The sequence below is a fragment of the Homo sapiens genome, chromosome 5 (genome assembly GCF_000001405.40).
Source record: "Homo sapiens chromosome 5, GRCh38.p14 Primary Assembly".
NCBI lineage: Eukaryota > Metazoa > Chordata > Mammalia > Primates > Hominidae > Homo > Homo sapiens.
The window spans coordinates 61,066,767-61,087,193 of NC_000005.10; the positions used below are offsets into that span (position 1 = coordinate 61,066,767).

The 20,427-nt window shown below is 35.8% G+C and overlaps 1 protein-coding gene across 1 annotated transcript in view; it reads left to right on the forward strand.

Annotated features, from left to right (window-relative positions):
• Positions 1-20,427, forward strand: part of NDUFAF2 (NADH:ubiquinone oxidoreductase complex assembly factor 2) — a 207,822-nt gene that overhangs the window by 121,562 nt on the left and 65,833 nt on the right. The window contains exon 2 of the mRNA NM_174889.5: positions 6,359-6,448. Coding sequence (NP_777549.1) covers positions 6,359-6,448 — 90 coding nt within the window. The remainder of the gene's footprint in view (positions 1-6,358; positions 6,449-20,427) is intronic.

Here is a 20,427-nt window from a genome sequence, read left to right on the forward strand (position 1 = left end):
GTATTTTTTAAATTTGTATTTTATTGTTGTGTTGTTGTTTCATCATTTTTTTCCCCAAGTATTTTCAGTGGTGGTTGACTGAATCTGCAGATGCAGAACCCATGGATACAGAGGACTGATTGTATACAGAGACCAGGAACAAAACAGTGGTTACCTGGGACAGGAAGGGGTGGTTGGGAGAAGTAGGGAGATGTATGTCAAAGGATACAAAGTAGCAGATATGTAAGGTGAACAAATCTAGAGATCTAATGTTCATGAGGACTGTTGGTAATAAAATTGTACTGTGTGTGGGATTCATGCTAAATGAGTAGATTTTAGTTGCTCTTGCGACACACAAAAAGGGATAACTGTGAGATGATGTATATTTTAATTTTTTTTATGACTAGATGTTTCTTTTTTTTAATTATTATGCTTTAAGTTTTAGGGTACATGTGCACAACGTGCAGGTTTGTTACATATGTATACATGTGCCATGATGGTGTGCTGCACCCATTAACTCGTCATTTAGCATTAGGTATATCTCCTAATGCTATCCCTCCCCCCTCCCCCTACCCCACAACAGTCCCCAGTGTGTGGTGTTCCCCTTCCTGTGTCCATATGTTTTCATTGTTCAATTCCCACCTATGAGTGAGAACATGTGGTGTTTGGTTTTTTGTCCTTGCGATAGTTTGCTGAGAATGATGGTTTCCAGCTTCATCCATGTCCCTACAAAGGACATGAACTCATCATTTTTTATGGCTGCATAGTATTCCGTGGTGTATATGTGCCACATTTTCTTAATCCAGTCTATCATTGATGGATATTTGGGTTGGTTCCAAGTCTTTGCTATTGTGAGTAGTGCCACAATAAACATACGTGTGCATGTGTCTTTATAGCAGCATTATTTGTAGTCCTTTGGGTATATACCCAGTAATGGGATGGCTGGGTCAAATGGTATTTCTAGTTCTAGATCCCTGAGGAATTGCCACACTGACTTCCACAGTGGTTGAACTAGTTTACAGTCCCACCAACAGTGTAAAAGTGTTCCTATTTCTCCACATCCTCTCCAGCACCTGTTGTTTCCTGACTTTTTAATGATTGCCATTCTAACTGGTGTGAGATGGTATCTCACTGTGGTTTTGATTTGCATTTCTCTGATGGCCAGTGATGATAAGCATGTTTTCATATTTTAATTTGCTTCACTCTAGTAACCTTTTTACTGTCTATTCATATCCCACAACATCATGTTATATCCCTTAAATATATACAATGAAATTTATTTTAAATACATAAAAGTGAGATTTTTAAGTGTTTATTAATTCATTTTAAAATATCACTAATAAATCCATTACATGTTAACATAAAGAATGTATGGATCACTATACTTTACCTCTTTCTTCCTCCCGGATCTTGAAGTTCTGCCTTAATTTGTAAAACTTCCTTTGTATAGCATATCTGATACATATCTTTAATTGGCATACATTTTCATTTTTAGTATTTTTTAACTTGCTTTACTGCCTATGCTTAACAAGGCAATCTTTTTTACTTTTATCTTCACATTTTAAACACAATTGAACAAAAGAAATGTTATTAACACACTTTTACAAGAAATTTCTTTTTCCTCAGAATGTCAGAGTAAGTTCAGAAACTGAATATTGATTTTCCTTTTTAAGTTATGCAACAATGACATGAAAACCTTTATATTTTCCATGTGGTAGGAAAAAGGATATAGGTACAATTTTAATCTCATAAATACATGCGCACATGTATATGTGTTTGTGTATTTATAATCTATTAGTTACAATAGTCTGAAAGGGAACAATAACATGTTAATATGATATTTTGAGTCACGCGCTTACAGGTCATTTTTATTTTTTTCTACTTTTTGGTATTTTCCAGATTTTCTTCAGTGAAGTTTTAATGAATCTATTATTAGGATTAAGTTAATTGATTTAAGATGTGTCTTCCACATTCTGAAACACCTTAATGAAAGGCAGTGGTTTTTCTTTTTTGGAAAGAAATAGTGATTTTTACTCTTTTACTTTTAGCTTAGCCCTTGTATTTTACCAACCGAAATGTCAGTTTGTAGATGTAACATTTGTAGTCATCTGAAAGTCTGGCAACATATCTTAGTGGTTAAGTGTCTAGGATCTGGAGTCAAAAGACCCATGTTCAAATCCTGATATCTGTTTGCTAGCAAGTAAATGTCTTAAGTTCTCTTAAGCCTCAATCTCTTTATAAATGAAATGTACAAATTGTTTATTTAAATGAAGTAATAATAGTACCTCATAGCATTGTATAGCTTAAATGAAATTACTCATGCAGAGCTAAAACTTAGTTCAATATCTGGCACATGGTAAACATGCCATAAATGTTAGTGCTTTTTTTTTTTTTTTTTCCTGACTCTGGAAATCTAGGACCTCTCCCTTCTTCCTTCAAACCTAACAAAACATTGTTGTGAACTACAGGATTTTTTGAAATCAAGGGTAAATGTAATCCAAGCAAGACTTTGATATTCAACACCCATTACCTGTCCATAGGAGTTTCCTGCTGGTTGTATTGGTTTCTATGCCCTGTAACACCATATGTGTGGCTGGGCCTGTCTCTACAACCCAGTGTGGTCTGCAGTGTGGTTTCCCAACTGTGGTCTATAAGATGACTTTAGATGACACAAAGACAACCCTTTAAATTTTTTAAATCTATTTTTATGGGTGAGCAAAAAACACAACTAGCACATTAAGTCAGTGATTACATGAATATTTTTTAGAGTAAGGTAAAAATGAGTATTGAGGAAAAATGCAAATCACTGTAAAGAAAAATATTAGGTTATAGTACTCTAAAGTATGGCAAAAATTGCAAAGATGGTACTTGAATGGCTGAAGTTTAGGTTTCTGCTCTAGAGGCTCCTTCCCATATCTGTGTCCAGGGTGCTCATACACTGTCCCAGAAGCTCAGTAGTACATGTGAAACCTGTCTTTTACCTAAACCCTTGTCATCTACGATATGCCTTGGGATCTCACCTTTTATTATGTTTTCTTCCTTCCTTTCTTTCTTTTTTTAAAATTAAATGGGCTCCATATATTTCTAAACAAAGAAATAGGAAATCTACCATCCTCCTAAGGCAATTAGCTCAACAGCAGCTAGCTTTTTCTTTTTTTAAAGTTTGGAAAAATATACTGTTATATCTACAGTCTTTAAATACATAGATTATTGACCATTACTACCTTCCTGAATTCAAACCCTGTGTTTCAATTAAATATAATATTGTTTAGTATTAAATAAAACAACTGTGTACTGTTTTATTTAATAATACTCATTGAGTCCACCAATGTCAATTATTTTTGTTGTATTAGGACTTATTGAACCTACACATATATTGGATTAAATGTTTTTGTCACCAAGTTAATTTTTAAATGTAAATTAGAACCTAAAATTTTGATGCTTGAGCAGGTACTTAAATTTGCTGTATTCACTACGATGGAAATTTTTTTGCTGTGATAAATAGAGTTGTCTTTACAAATATTGCATGAAAGCATATTAGTATAAGTAAGTGTACAGTTTGTGCATAATTCCTTACTCAGTGGGAGGCATAAATTCCATTCCCAATTCATAAAAATTGAACAAGTAGTATTTATTCCAAAAAAAGGGAGTAGTTTTACAGTGATTTATTGAGGAGATAAACATATCTGATTACAAAGAATTTATTTAATAAGCTAATAGCTTTATTTTATATTACTAAAGATGTATACTTTTTTAAAAAATCTTTATTTCAACTATTTCTAAATAAAGGTTTATTCAGTGATTGTCCTGAAATTAAACTAGCTCATTAATTACTCTTCCTGTCTTTGCATACACACACACACACACACACACACACACACACGCACTCACATACACACAAATAGGCATAACTTTTGATTTTTTAAATCCTTGGGAGACCTTACATGAAGTTGATCGACCTAAGAGTAGGAATAGAAAGTTATTTTTTTTGTTGCAGATATGCCTGTAGTATATATGCATTTAGTAGTGCTACTGAGAACGATAGACCTGTCTATCCTCTCCCCATGTGCTAAACTTTATGGATGTACATTTAAAAACTTATAGACCATACATGTACTTTGAGGATCCCATGTATTTGCATTTTTATTTTAGACAATAGTTTTCCTTTCTATAACTATTACTCCAAAAAACATTCTTACATTTTGGTAATTAGATAAGGACTACATGAAGACATCGGTATTTGACTAACACATTTTGAAAATTGTCACATAAGCTTACTTTAATATATGCTAAATTATAAATACTAAATTTATAGTAACTTGTTATGATGTATTTATATATGTGAATGTAAATAGCATTTTAGTAAACATACATGTACATATATTGAACCTCTACTGTGAGAGAAATGCAGTTGTCATTGTTATATGCTCCTTGTACCCTAATCCTTGTTCCTACCACTTTTAGTATCAGTCCCTTGTCCTACTGTAAATTTATTGGGTAAGATAAGCAAAAGGTAACTCCTCTTTGTAGAACTTGGGGAACCTCTGCGTTAGGATTAAATCAGCCTGATTAAATGACTTCATAATGAAATGCAGAACTTCCTGACCACATACTTAAGATTTATTAGCCATTAATGGGTTGTCTATGAACTCCCAGCCTTTCACTTAATATTACTAAGATGGAAGAAATAAAACCAGCCATTCAGCTTTCTTAGGCTTTCCTTTTATGTCGTCCTTTCTCCTGCACAGTCACTCCCAGGAGTTTCCTGTCCACACTTAAATGAATTTACAGCTAATAGAATATCAGGTAGTGTAGGAGAGAGATTTGCAGGCATCAAGGTTAATTTCTTTAATTATGTAAGTCAGTATATTTAGCATAGTGTAAGATTGGCTTAGGAGTGGTAAGAGAAAGGAGTATTTTGTAAGGTCCAAATTTCTCTCCCTGACTGGTCTGATCACTGTTAAGCCATGCTGCTCCCTTTATCATTCCTCACTAATGACTTCTCTGTCTCAGCTCACATTCCCTGGAGTAGGCAGGCACACTTGTTAAATAGTAGGAAGTAGAAAGCCTACCTGGTTTCCCCAGGCTCAAAGGTTCAGTGAGAAAGAAACATGTTTTGAAGCAACCATTTTGATAAAGCTGCTTTGAAAGATATAATGAAGACTTTCTGAAAACAGAAGAAAATAACAATTAGTTTTATGCCTTCTGTATAAACTTAAAATATGCACTAATCAACTTTTATTGAGAAATATAAGCATTAGGCATTCTCATTCCATTCTTGACTTCTCACCAACTTTTACTTTACTGTTCTCTCTGTTTCATGTTTCTGCATTGCTACTATTCCACTCCAGATATTAATCTCTCATCTGAAGAACCATAGACTTTGAAATTATGATAAAAGATCAAAGGGAGACAAAACAGCAGCAGCTGGTCTCTCAATGTGGCTCTAACAGTAACATACGAACTTAGTAGCTTGTAAGTGGTCACCATCAGTCTACCATAGCCATAACCAAACCAATGACCAGTTTTGTTAAATTCTCTTAAGAGGAAGTGATTCAGATGGGCCACAGAATTCAACCCATGGCTTGGCTCCCTTGGGTTTGCCAGTGTATTAGGGAGAGGGTGGCTGCAGGGTCTTGTGGTCCATTACATACTTAGTAACAGCAATGAATATCGATTTTCTTGGGTGATTGCAGCAGCCATTGCTTCCTCTAAGATATATACATGTAAGTCAGAAGAAGTTGAACTTGCTGTTGATTATTAAAATATTTTTTATTGGCCATTAGTGCTCTATAGGATTAATTGGTTGCTCTTTTTCTGTACATTAAATCTAGATTTATTTATTTATCTATTTATTTATTTATTTTTTGAGATGGAGTCTCACTCTGTAGCCCAAGCTGGAGTGCAGTGGCTCGATCTCGGTTCACTGCAGCCTCTGCCTCCCGGGCTCAAGTGATTCTCGTGCTTTAGCCTCCTGAGTAGAGTAGCTGGGACTACAGGTGTGTGCCACCATGCCTGGCTAATTTTTTGTATTTTAGTAGAGATGGGGTTTCACCATGTTGCCCAGGTTGATCTTGAACTCCTGAGCTCAGGCGATCCACCCACCTCGGCCTCCCAAAGTGCTGGGATTACAGGCGTGAGCCACTGCGGCTGGCCTACCTTTAATTTTTGTAGGCTGTGGTAAATAATTATAAATTTTTACAGTAGTTTAGAATTTGCCTTTTGTAATATACCTAATTCAAAATGGAAATCTATTCTCGTTTTCCTGTTAATTTAATTCTTTTACTATATAAGGGGTTATGCAATATTCAAAGATTAATTGTAGAACTACTGTATCATAGGTTCATTTAAAAATGTATTAATGACTTTTGTCTTATAGGACAAACTATTCGAGAGAAAAGAATTGTAGAAGCAGCAAATAAAAAAGAAGTAGACTATGAAGCAGGGGATATTCCAACAGAATGGGAAGGTAAGTTTCTGCTTTTAGTAGAATCTCATGGGAGGTAAGTTATATAACAGTATACAAATTCAATAAGAGCATATATAGTTATATACTGTTTCTCTTTGCAAAAAAGTTTTAGTGTCTGAATGTTTGAAACTTTGTTTTTTTAACATTGCATTTCTTTGAAAGTTGTGAAGGTGCTGAATTTTAGTAAGCAGATGCATGTATAGCAAAAAGAACTATTAAGCATTATCAGAGCTGAGACTAAGGTGAGGCAAGCCAAAATCCTAAGATGCAAAATTTAAGCAGGCACTCACTTTCATGTAGTGACCCAGCACTTGCACAATCCTAGGATTTGAATCCTGTTTCTGGCACTCATTACACACATGAACTTGCAAAGTAACTTAAACTTTTAGTTTTTTCTTTTATAAATTATGCATAATACTTGCTGTAGATACCATTTGGAGTATTTTTTCAACTCACAATAACTCTATGATAACTGACTGCCTGTTAAGACAAGGATGGATGCTCGATCCCTTTCCTAAGACTTTGAAGTTAAAATAAAAGATCAAAGGGAGACAAACAGCAGCAGTTGGTCTCTCAGTGTGGCTCTAACAGTAACATATGAACTTAGTAGCTTGTAAGTGGTCACCTTCAGTCTACCATCAAAGTTTTATTGCATAAAAAGCTAATTGATTTTAGAAAAGCTAATATTGCAGAAAAAGCTGATTTACTGAGAAGAAAACGGAAACTAGTTCACAATGAGAAGTACATAGAGAGAATATTTCCTAGTTTTCCAACAGCTTTCTGGTTCCCAGTTCAGTTTCTCTCTGAATGAAGTTCATCTGCAAGACTGAGTTCAAAATGGCACCTCATAACCATGTTATGTATTTCTGTTTTTTGCTTACCAGTTCCTAGCATAGTGCCTGGCACATTGTAAGGCACCTAGTAGGTAGTTAATCAATATGTATTGAATACCTGAGGCCGGGAGTGGTGACTCACGCCTGTAATCCCAGCACTTCGGGAGGTCGAAGTGGGCGGATCATCTGAGGCCAGGAGTTCAAGACCAGCCTGGCTAACATGGTGAAACCCCGTTTCTACTGAAAATATAAAAAATTAGGCCAGGTGTGGTGGCTCATGCCTGTAATCCCAGCACTTTGGGAGGCCAAGGCGGGTGGATCATGAGGTCAAGAGATTAAGATCATCCTGGCCAACATGGTGAAACCCCGTCTCTACTAAAAATACAAAAATTAGCTGGGCATGGTGGCACGTGCCTGTAGTCCCAGCTACTCGGGAGGCTGAGGCAGGAGAATCACTTGAACCCGGGGGGCAGAGGTTGCAGTGAGCCAAGATCACGCCACTGCACTCCAGCCTGGTGACAGAGTGAGACTCCATCTCAGAAAATAACAAAAAATTCAAAAAATTAGCCAGTCGTGGTGGCACAGGCCTGTAATCCCAGCTACTCGGGAGGCTGAGGCAGGAGAATCGCTTGAACCCGGGAGGCAGAGGTTGCAGTGAGCTGAGATTGCGCCATTGCACTCTGGCTTGGGCAACAAGAGCGAAACTCCGTCTCAAAAAAGAAAAGAAAAGAAAAGAAATACCTGAAACTGGGTAATTTATAAAGGAAAAAGGTTTAATTGACTCACAGCTCCGCATAGCTGGGGAGGCCTCAGGAAATTTACAATCATGGCAGAAGGCGAAGGGGAGGCAAGCACCTTCTTTGCGTGGCAGCGGGAGAGAGAATAATGAAGGAGGAACTTCCAAATACTTATAAAGCCATCAGATCTCATGAGAACTCACTCACTTCACAAGAACAGCATGGGGAAACCGCCCCCATGATCTAGTCACCTCCCTCCTTCGACACAAGGGGATTACAATTAGAAATGAGATTTGAGTAGGGACACAGAACCAAACCATATCACCCATTTAATAGATGGAGCACCTAAGGCCTAAAAAGGTTAGTTAATTTACCTGGGTTATATAGCTTCATACGTGGGTAAACAGTAGACTCATTGCTTCTTGGTTGGCATAGCATGATACCTTACATGTGGTAGCTATAGGCATTATGTTACTTTTATGCCAGCATGTGAATGTAAACATCATTTCAGTAAAAATATTTTTCCATTTCTGCTTACTACTAGAACTATGAGGAAAAAAAAAACCATAAAAATAAGTAGATACCAAAGGTTTTTTGAAGAAATACAGAATATAAATTGGCAACTTCTAGGAGGGGTAATTGAGCTTTCTTATTTTAGCAGACTCTCCAGTGTTATAAACTACATTTACAATTCTTGGATAATGCGTGCACCTTCTTAGAATGAGTTTGTTTTTATCATTTTTTCCAATAATAGTATAGAATTAAGATGTTTATAGAAATGTTATAAATAAATGAGTACGTAATGACTCATTTTTCAGCCTTTGAGACTTTCAGAGAGTTTGAATGAAGTTCTAATCTTTTTATGGCTGTCCTGATCTAGTAATTTGGCATAACTCTCCCATGGGACATATGTTTAAAACAAATGTATCAATCAAACACTAAACAAAAATTATTTTTATGGTGGTACACATCAATTAAATGTGAAAAATAACTCAGCACCATGAAAAAGTAAATTAAGTATTTTCAGGTTCAGATGAATATTGTATTTGTCAATTTTACTGGGACCTGCAAGTTGCATATTCTCCCACAATGTAGATTAAACAATGTGCCCTTTTTCTTCGTTTATTTAGTAGGTATCTATTAAGGACCTCTACATTCATAGAGCTTATTTTCTAGGGTGGGAGAAAGACAATACACCAGATAAATAACTAGACTATATTGTATGTTAATGGCCACAGAAAATAAAGCAGGGAAAGGGCATAGGGAGTGTTGGGGAAGGTTTTGCAGTTTTTTTGTTTGTTTTTTAAGATGGAGTCTCGCTCTTTGCCCAGGCTGGAGTGCAGTGGCGCGATCTTGGCTCACTGCAGGCTCCACCTCCCAAGTTCACGCCATTCTCCCGCCTCAGCCTCCTGAGTAGCTGGGACTACAGGTGCCCGCCACCACGCCCGGCTAATTTTGTTTTTGTATTTTTAGTAGAGAGAGGGTTTCACCATGTTAGCTAGGATGGTCGCCATCTCCTGACCTCGTGATCTGCCCGCCTCTGCCTCCCAAAGTGCTGGGATTACAGGCGTGAGCCACCGCGCCCGGCCGTTTTGCAGTTTTAAATAGTGTTCAGAAAAGGCTTTACTGAAATGACTTCTGAATAAAAACAGAAGGAGCTAGTCATGCAGCTAACCAGCTGAAGAGCATTACTGGAGAGCAAGTACAAAAGCCCTGAGGCAGGAACATGCTCAGATGTTTGAAAAACAGCAAGGAAGTCAGTGTGATTGGGATAGAATGAGAGAGAAATTAATAGATAAGGTTAGAGAGTTAATAGGATTGTGAATCTGGGGGGCCTTGTAGGCCATTTTAAAGACTCTGGCTTTTACTGTGAGACTGGAAGCCATTGTAGGGTTTTGAAAAGAGTAGTCATATGTTCTGAGGTATATTTAACAGGATCACTATGGCTGCTGCATTGCAAATAGACTTAGGGGAACATAGGCAAAATATGGAGACAGGAAGCTCTTGTAATAATTTAGGCAAGAGATTAATTGTGACTTGGGCCAGAGTAACAGTGGGAGTGGAAAGAAGAAGTTGCATTCCGGATCTGTGGTAAAAGTAGGACCAACAGGATTTGATGACATATTGGATGTGGAGCATGAGAGGAAAGCAGACAGTAATTACTCTTAAGCTGTTTTGGCCTCACCTGGAAAAAGGAGTTGCTGTTAACTGACATGTGCAGTTAAAGGAGTGCAGTGAAAGGAGCAAGTTAGGGGTGGAAAAATGAAATCAATTTTGGACATGCTAAGTTTGAGATGCCTATTAGACATCCAAGTAGAGATGTTAAATTGTGTATGAGCCAAGAACTTAGTGGACATATCTGTACTGGAGATAAAATTTGGGAGTTGTCAGCAAATAAATGGTGTATAAAGCAATGAGACTGAAGAGATCACACACAGAATGAGTGTAAATACAAAATGAGAAATTCAAACACTGACCCTTAGGCTGCTCCAAAGTTTAGTTAGAGACAATGGAGACCAAAAAGGAGCTGCCAGAAACATAGGAGAAAAAAAAAGTGTCATGTACTAGAAGCCAAATATCAAGGAGGAAGAAGTAATCAAAATGTCAAATGAGGTCTGAAAATTAACTCTGCTTTAAATACAGGAACTATTTTGTCTGACAAAAATAGTTCTGTAGAGTGGTAGGAGCAAATGCATGATAGAAAAAGAAGTATAGCAAGAGAGAATTTGGAGAGTCTGAGAATAGACAGTGTTTATGAGGAGTTTATCTGTAAAGAAAAGGAGAATGATGAAGCAGTACTTGGAGAGGAAAATGGAGTCAAGAAATATTTTCTTTTGTTTTAAAGACAGAAGAGAATTTTGTAATAGTGATGGGAAAGATCCAGTCAGAAAGAAGAATTGCAGGAAAGAGGAAGTCCTTGAGAAGACAAGATGAGGCAGGACCTAGTAAACAGGGGGAAGAGTTGACCTTTGAACAAAAGCTTGGAAAATTCATCAATAGTGATAGCAGAAAAAGAGTCTGTGGGCATATATGCAGGTAGATGGGTAGATGTGGTAATGAGAAATTGTGTAAATTCTCTTCTAATTCTTACTAATGAAGAAGAGTGATTTAAGTAAGTTCCTAAGTATCAATAGCAACTAGAACCCAGATTTGAACCCAAATTATCTGCTTCCAATTTTTTACTCAATATTATACTGCCTACATCATTTATAACTTGGCTAACTCCTATTTATTACTCAAGTTTTGGAGTAGACATTACTTCCCTTTGTAAGCTTTTTCTGACCTGGCCCGTCACCCCCAGTGATAGGTGAGATGTTCCTTTTTTTTGTTTTTATCTCACTTTGGACCTCCTCCAATCATGACATTTAACACACTATAGGGGGTTCCTTGTTTACTTATCTGCATCCTCCGCCCTAAACTGGAAGATTTTTTAGAATAGGATCCTTACCTTATTCATTTTTGTATTCTCAGGGCCTAGCTCAATAGTTAAGTAAATATAAGCTCAGTCAACATTTGTTGAATGAATGCATTTCAAACTGAAAGTATGTTATGTAAGTATGTTTAAGGAAAAGGCATTTTGGGGAGTCTGCTGGCTTGCTGAAAATAGTCTGTTTTAAGAAGAAAGACATGGAACAGTAGACCAGACCAATTTTTTTCAAACATATAGAAGATTTGATCAGGTGCACTGGCTCACACCTGTAATCCCAGCACTTTGGGAGACTGAGGCAAGCAGGTCACTTGAGTCCAGGAGTTCTAGACCAGCCTGTACAACATGTGAAACGCCATCTCTACCAAAAATACAAAAAATTAGCCAAGTGTGATGGCACACACTGGTATTCCCAGCTATTCAGGGGGCTGAGGTGGAAGGATTGCTTAAGCCTGAGAGGCAGAGGTTGCAGTGAGCTGAGATCGCGCCACTGCACTCCAGTCTGGGTGACAGAGTGAGACCCCGTCTCACAAGAAAAAAAAAAATAGGAGATTCTTGGACAAGATTCAGCTGTGGGAGATAGTATAGTACTAACTACTGGGCAATGTTATAAAGTTTCAGTGAACCTTGTAAGTTTAATTCATGGCATTATTTGTAGTTCTTATGTAGAGGCTCTCATATTTGTCTCTCTATAATTCAGATTGTTGTATTTATCTTTCATTTTTGTTATTTTTCTTGTTTTTGGTAAGTTTAAGCTTGTTTCGTGTTAACAGTAATAAACATTTTTTATGAGAACCCTAAAATACATACAAAGCAGAATATAGTTGGAGGAGGCAGAAAGGCCCTGATCCAGTTAAGCTTTACTTATCACATATACTCATTAAAATAGAAGATTAATGCCTCAGAAGAGAAATAAAAATTACTTTTTAGGTATATTAGACCATACCTGTCTATCATTAACACTGTTAATAATTAATATCTCAGTATAAAATGTCATACCCACTTTTATTGCTTTTAAGTTAATAATTGTTCATAATTATTCAACATGTCTTTCTCAGGCCACAGGAACTCCTTATAAAGAATTTTCAAAGTAAGCTTCATAAAATAATAGACCAGGATGTTGCTATCCCTGTTCTAGAATCAAGACTTATGTTATATCCATGTTCTGCAATGGTCATTTACTACCTTGGTCATTTTGGCAAAGGGATTTACCTCCTATTTTTCATCTATAAAATTAAAACGCTGAGTTCATAACCCTTTAAGCCTCCTATCTATCTCTAATGCTCTATGATTCATGACCCAAGAAGTATCTCGAATAAACTCACATTGCGACGCAGAATCTCTGGACTTCCAGAACAATTTGGTTGAACCTCCAGTACACTTGAATAGAAAAGATTAGAGAGAATATTCTTGCATTGTTTCTGACCTTAGCATTCAATCTTTCACCATTAAATATGTTGTTTGTAGGTTTTTCTCATAGATGCCTTTATCAAGTTGCAGAACTTCTTTCCTTGATGGGGCCCTCTGCCAATCCTCTAGGGTTTGTTCTCTATGTAGCTGTCACCCAACTGGTACTCTGAACTGTGAACTTGCGTGACCTTGGTCTCCCTAGACTCCCAGCTCCATCTTCTTAACTTATATAGTCTGCTGGATTTTGACAGGATTCCCTCCCTGGGGCACAACCGAAACTCAAAGTAGTAAACTGGGGCGATCGTGAGGTCAGCCTTCGTTTATTTAACGTTCTCTGAGACCACTGTGTTTCATTATTCAATGTCCATTGTTTTGAAGATTGTTGTTTTATGTAATTTGTCCTTGTTGCTCCATCTTGACTAGAAGCAAAAGGCAGCTTTTTTTTTTAACATACCTTAATACATTTGAGATTTGTTTGTGTACTTGCATGAATCAGTAAGTTTATTCCTTTTTATTGCTGACTAGAATTCTGTCATATTGATATATCTTTTTGCATTAACTAGTTGAAAGACATTTGAGTCCTTTCTACTTTATAGCAATTATGAGTAAAGTTGCTATATTAATTCATATACACATTCACGTACAAATCTGTGAACAGAAATTTTCTTTCAAATAAGTCCTTGGGCAGGATTGGTAGGTTTTATTTTAAGTATAGATTTGATTTTATAAAAAACTGCCAAGATATTTTTCAATGTGGCTGTACCATTTTGTATTTAAGTGTAAGTTTGATTTTATAAAAAACTGCCAAGATATTTTGCAATGTGGCTTTACCATTTTGTATTCCCATTAGTAGTGTATGAGAGTTCAAGTTGTTCATCATCTTCTCCAGCCATTGCTGTTGTCAGTTTCATTACATTTGAGCCATTCTAATTGGTGTGTTTTGATATCTCATTGTGGTTTTAATTTTTATGTCTCTAATGACTAATGACCTAGATCATCTTTTCATGAACTTATTTGCCATCTGTATATCTTCTTTGGTGTACTTTTATATCTTTTTGCCCAGAATTTTTTTAATTAAAAAAATTAGTTTTGAGAATTTCCTATGTATCATAGATATAAGTCCTTTATCAGATATGTGATTAGCAAATATTTTTCACAGTCTATGGCTTGTCTTTTCATTGGCTTGTCTTTTCATTCTCTTGACAGTGCCTTTCAAAGAGCATACATTCTTAATTATAATGAATTCCAGTTTATCATTTTTTTCTTTTATATATCATGGTTTCAATGTTGTATGAAAGAAATCTTTGCCTAACCTGAGGTCAAGAATATTTTGTCCTGTGATTTCTTCTAGAAGTTTGGGGTTCTACAGTTTTGGGTTTTACATTAAAGTCTATGATACATTTTTATCTGTTTCATGTTTTTTATGGCAATCTAATTTTCCAGCACCGTTTTTTTAAATGACCACTATTTTTTCCATTGAATTGCCTTAGCACCTTTGTCAGACATCAATTGACTATGGATGTGTCTATTTCTGCATTTTCTATTCCATCCATGGAGTTATTTATCTTTTTGCTAGTGCTGATTGTCTTGATTACTGAGGCTTTGTAACAAGTCTTGAAATAAATCATTTTGAGTCTGCCAACTTCTTTCCCAAAATTTTTGTCTTGGTTAGTCAGGGCCCATATAATGTTTTTACACTTTAAATATGTGCAGTTTATTGTACATCAGTTATACCTCAATAAAGCTGTAAAAGAATAACATAGTCATCTTGGAAAAATAAGTTACTGAATGAGGATAGTAATAATGATACAAGCAAGGGATACAACAAAAAAGTGTCAGAACTGACTCTTTTCCCAGTCTCAGGATTTGACTTAATCTAGAAGACTATTTGAAATGTGGATTTGCCCCAATCTCTTTAACTGAAGAACGTCACCTTGGGCATAGATTAGTCTTGAGATACTAAGTTATATAATATGAAGTTATCCCAAGTAACAGAGCATGTAAAGATCAAATGCCCAGACAAACCTCTATAGTTTTTCCAGAGATATTTAAAGTTGGTGTCATATTCAATCCAGGACTTTCCAAAGTTTCTTTAAATTTAATGATAAATGTTTTGAAATCTTTTTTGAGGTTTCTTAATAGCGAAAGCAAAAACTTACATACCATTGGGAATCATTTATTTGTTCTTCCTGTTGTGATAAAAATGTCTGTAGTAAAAACTTTAACAGAAATAAAAAGCAATCTGGCAAGGAACTAAAATATATTTCTTCATCAGCATACATTATTGGAAAGCCAGCAGAAAGCATGGCTGAAGGAACATGTATTTGGACAAAGTATGCAGGGCACTGCACTGCCAAATGGATGTTACAAATGTTTTTAGCATGTCTTCTCTTATAACAGAAAGACCATACTTCTTAATTTTTGTTAGTCCCCAAAGCAAAGATAAACTAGAGAAGATATAGCCTCAGCAGTAAATGACCCACTTAATAAAAACAACGATTCACAGGAGAAAAAAAATGTGCATGAGTGTAAGATTGATGGAGCTGCTGCTTTAGGCTACAAGGACCTGTAATGAAGTTCCTGAGATTGTGCAAATAAAATTCATCATTCTTGGGGATGAAATAGAAGCCAAGAGTGTACATATATACTTTATTTTTTAGAGATGGGGATCTTGCTCTGTGGCTCAGGCTGGTCTCAAACTCCTGGCCTCAAGCAATCCTCCTGCCTCAGCCTCTTAAGAAGTTGGGACTACAGACACACATCACCATGCCTATAAGTACACTTTACTTTTTTCTTTCTTTCTTTTTTAAATTTTAGATTCAGGGGTTCCATGTGCATGTTTCTTACATGGATATATTGCATGATTCTGAGGTTTGGACTTCAACTGAACCTGTCACCCAAATAGTGAACATGGTACCCTCCCTAGTTTCTGTTGTTCCCATTTTTATGTTGATGTATACTCAGTATTTAGCTCCCACTTATTAGGGAGAACATGCAGTATTTGGTTTTCTGTTTCTGCATTAATTCACTTCAGATTATGGCCTCCTGATGCATCCATGTTGCTGCAAAGGACATAACTTCATCCTTTCTTATGGCTGCATACTATTCCATGGTGTATATGTACCACATTTTCTTTATCCAGTCTACAATTGATGGGTATCTAAGTTGATTCCACTTTTTTGCTATTGTGAATAGTGCTGCAATAACCGTGCGAATGCATGTGTCTTTATGGTAGAATGATTTATTTTTCTTTGGATATATACTCAGTAATGGGATTGCTGGGTCAAGTGATAGTTCTATTTTTATTAGTAGTTCTTTGAGAATCGCCAAACTGCTTTCCACTTAGGCTGAACTAATTTATAGTCCCACCAACAGTGTATAAGTGTTCCCATTTCTTTGCAACTTCACCAACATCTCTTATTTTTTGACTTTTAATAATAGCCATTCTGACTGGTGTAAGATGGTATCTCATTGTGGTTTTGATTTGCATTTCTCAGATGATTAGTCATATTGAGTATTTTTTCATGTTTGTTGGCCATGTGTATATCTTTTGAGAAGTGTTTGTTCATGCCCTTTCCCCACTTTTAATGTTGTTTTTTTTTTCTTTTTGATTTATTAAAGTTTCTTACAGATTCTGGATATTATACTTTGATGTCTTACATTTAAGTCTTTAAACCATCTTGAGTTCATTTTTGTATACGGCGAAAGGTAGGGGTCAACTTGCATTTGTCTATATATGGCTAGCCAGTTATCCCAGCACCATTTATTGAATAGAGTTTTCATTCCCCATTGTTTATTTTTGTTGCTTACTGCAAACTCTGCCTCCTGGGTTCAAGCAATTCTCCTGCCTCAGCCTCATGAGTAGCTGGATTACAAGCACACACCATCATGTCTGGCTAATTTTCTATTTTTAGTGGAGATGGGATTTCACCATGTTGGCCATCCTGACCATGCTGGCCATCCTTTCACCATGTTGAGATCCTGACCTCAAGTGATCTGCCCACCTCGGCCTCCCAAAAGTGCTGGGATTACAGGTGTGAGCCACCCCTCCGGCCTGTAGTTTTCAACTATAGATCTTGCACATGTTTTATTAAACTAATACCTAAGTGTTTCTTGATTTTTTTGGTGCTATTGCTAGTTGTTTTCTATTTTAATTTCAAATTATTCATTGGTAATACATAGAAATACAATTGATTTTGTATATCAACTGTGTACTTTTAAGTGATATTGTTAAACTCACTTATCAATTGTATCATCTTTACTGTAAACTTCTTGTGGTTGTCTGCATAAACAATCTTTTCCTTCTGTTTCTTCTATTCTCATGCGTAAGCCTTTGTTTTTTCTTGCCTTACTGCACTGGCAAGGAACCTCCACAATAATGATGAGTAGAACTGGTAAAAGTGAACAACTTTGCCTTGTTCTTGATCTTAGCAGGAAAGCATTCAGTTTTTCACTGTTAGGTATGATATTAGCTGTAAGGTTTTTTAGATGCCTGCTGTCAGATTAAAAAGCTGTCTTCTATTCCTCGGTTGCTGGGCATTTTTATCATGAATGCTGTTGGATTTTGTCAAATGTATTTTCTTCATTTATTGAGATTATTTTTATGATTATTTTTTTTCATTCTGTTAATATGATTTATTACATTGATTGATTTTATTTTTAAATTATCCTCCCTTTTCATTGTGGTAAAGTATACATAACATAAAAATTTCCATTTTAGCCATTTTTAAGTATACAGTTCAGTGGCTGTAGGTACATTCACTGTTTGCAACTATCAGCAGCATTCATCGCCAGAACTTTTTTCATCTTCCCAAACTGAAACTTCATGCCCATTGAAAAACAACTCTCCATTTCCTCCTTTCTCCCAGTCTTTGGCAACCACCATTCTACTTTTTGTCCCTATGAATCTGACTACTCTAAGTACGTCATAGAAATTGAATCATACAGTATTTGACCTTTTTATGTCTGGCTGATTTATTTCCCTCAGCATAATGTCTTCATGGTTCATCCATGTTACAGGATATATCAGAATTTCATTCCTTTTTTGGGCTGAATAATATTCCATTGTATATAGATACCACATGTTGTTTATCCATTCATCGAATGATGGACACTGGAGTTGCTTCCCCCTTTTGATTATTGTGAATAGTGCTGCTATGAATATAGGTATACAAATATCTGTAGATTTAAACCTATGTAAATAGGTACAGTAAATTTAAGTGGTCTAGAAATGCCACACAAAAAGCAGAAGTTGTCAGAATGATATATATAGAAGATAGCTACATCAGACAACATGACCCAATTGACATAGGACACTCCACTGAGCAATTGTAAAATGCACATTTTTTTCCATATGCTCATGGAACATTCACCAGGATGGGCCACATATTCTTTCCAGAAATGTGGGAGATAGGAATACTTCTCTACTCATTTTATTAGGCCCTGTTTAACCTGATATCAACCTGACAGAAACAATAAAGAGATACTACAAACCAGTATCCTACATAAACATAGATGTAGAAATCACTAACAAAATATTAGCAACCTGAATCCAGCAATATATAAAAAGGGCAGTATACCATGACCATGTGGAGTTTATCCCAGTAATACAGATTGGTTTAACATTTGAAAATCCATTTATATTCAGCATAATAACAAAAAGGAGAAAAATCATGAGTTAATTCCAGTTGGTACAGAAAAGAATTGACAAAATTCAATATACATTTATGATTAAAAACTCTCCACAAACTTAAAATAGAAAAGAAGCGCCTCAACCTGATAAAGGGCATTAAGGGGGGAAAAAAACCTACAGTTAACCTCACATTCAATGGTGAAAGGCAGAACACTTTCCCCCTAAGATTGGGAACAAGACAAGGATATCTTCTTTGACTATTTACATTTCACATCATCTTGGAAATTCTTGTCAATGCAATAAAGCAATAAAAATAAATGAAATGAATACAGATAAGAAACAGATGACATGATTACATGTAGACAGTCTACAAAAAGTACGTAAAAATTAAGTGAATTTTGTAACTTTTCAAGATACAGGGGAATATAAAATCAATTATATGTCTACATAATAATACCAAACAATTTCTAAGTAAAAATTTAAATTATATTACTTCAAATACTATTAAAAACTTGAAGATTTAGGGATAAATTTACAAAAATATATCCAAGACCTTTACATTGAAAAACATAAAATATCAGCCGGGTGAGGTGGCTCATGGCTATAATCCTAGTACTTTGGGAGGCTAAAGTGGGAGGATCACTTGAGGCCAGGACTTGCAGTCCAACCTGGGCAACATAGTGACACCTTGTCTCTACAAAAAGTAAGCACTTTAGCCAGGTGTGGTGGTGTGCACCTGTAGTCTTTCCAGCCTACTCAAGAGCCTGAGATGGGAGAATCACTTGAGCCCAGAAGTTTGAGGTTATAGTGAGCTGCAATCATTCCACAGCTCTCCAGCCTGCGTGACACAGCAAGATCCTATCTCTTAAAAAAAAAGAAAGGAAGAAAAGAAAAATATGAAATATTGCTGAGAAAAATTAAAGAAGACTTAAATAGAGAGATGTACAATTTTCATAGATCAGAAGAGTTAATATTTAAAAGACAGTATTTCCCTTCAAATTGATCTGTAAATTCATTGCCCTCCAATCAAAATACTAACAGCCTTTTTGGAATTGATATGCTGATTTTAAATTTTGTATTAAAATACAGAGAACCTAGAATACTCAAAACTTTTTTGGAGAAAGAACAAGATTGGAGAATTTAACTTAATATAAATCTACATTTATCAAGGTGGTTTGGTACTGATGTAAGGATAATTATACAATTAATGGAACCAACCTGAATATCCAGGAATTTTCTCACACTTATATGGTCAATTGATTTTTCAATAGCAAGGAAAATTCTTTTCAATAGCTTGTGTTGAATAACTGAATTTCCATATGGAAAAAATATAAACCTTGAACATTACCTTATATAATCCTCCAAGAAATTTAACTTGGGATTTATCACAGACCTAAATATAAAGCTAAAACTAATAAACTTTTAGAAGAAAAAGATGAACAAAAATCTTTCAATTATGAGTAGTCAAAAACTATTAAATAGGACCCTAAAACACAAACTTAAAAAAAATGATAAATTGGACTTCACCAAAATTTTACAGATTCTTATTTTTAACAGATTTATTAGAGCAAAGGAAAATACAAGCCATAGACAGGGAGAAAAATTTGCCATACATGTCTAACATCGAACTTATATTCAGAATATGTAAAGAACTCTCATACCTCAGTGAGAGAAACATTAATTTTAAAATGGACAAAAGGTATAAACAGACACTTTACCAAAGAGGATTTATGGTGTGGACTAAATGTGGTTCCCCCACACTCTTCTACCCCATTCATGTGTTGAAGCCCTAACTCTAAATATGGTGGTATTTAGAAATATGGGACCTTTGAGAGGTAATTAGAGTTAGATGAGGTCATGAGGGTGAGGCCTTAATGATAATATTAGTGCCCGTAGGAGAAGAGGCACCAGAGAGCTGTACTCTCTCCCTGAGCATGCAC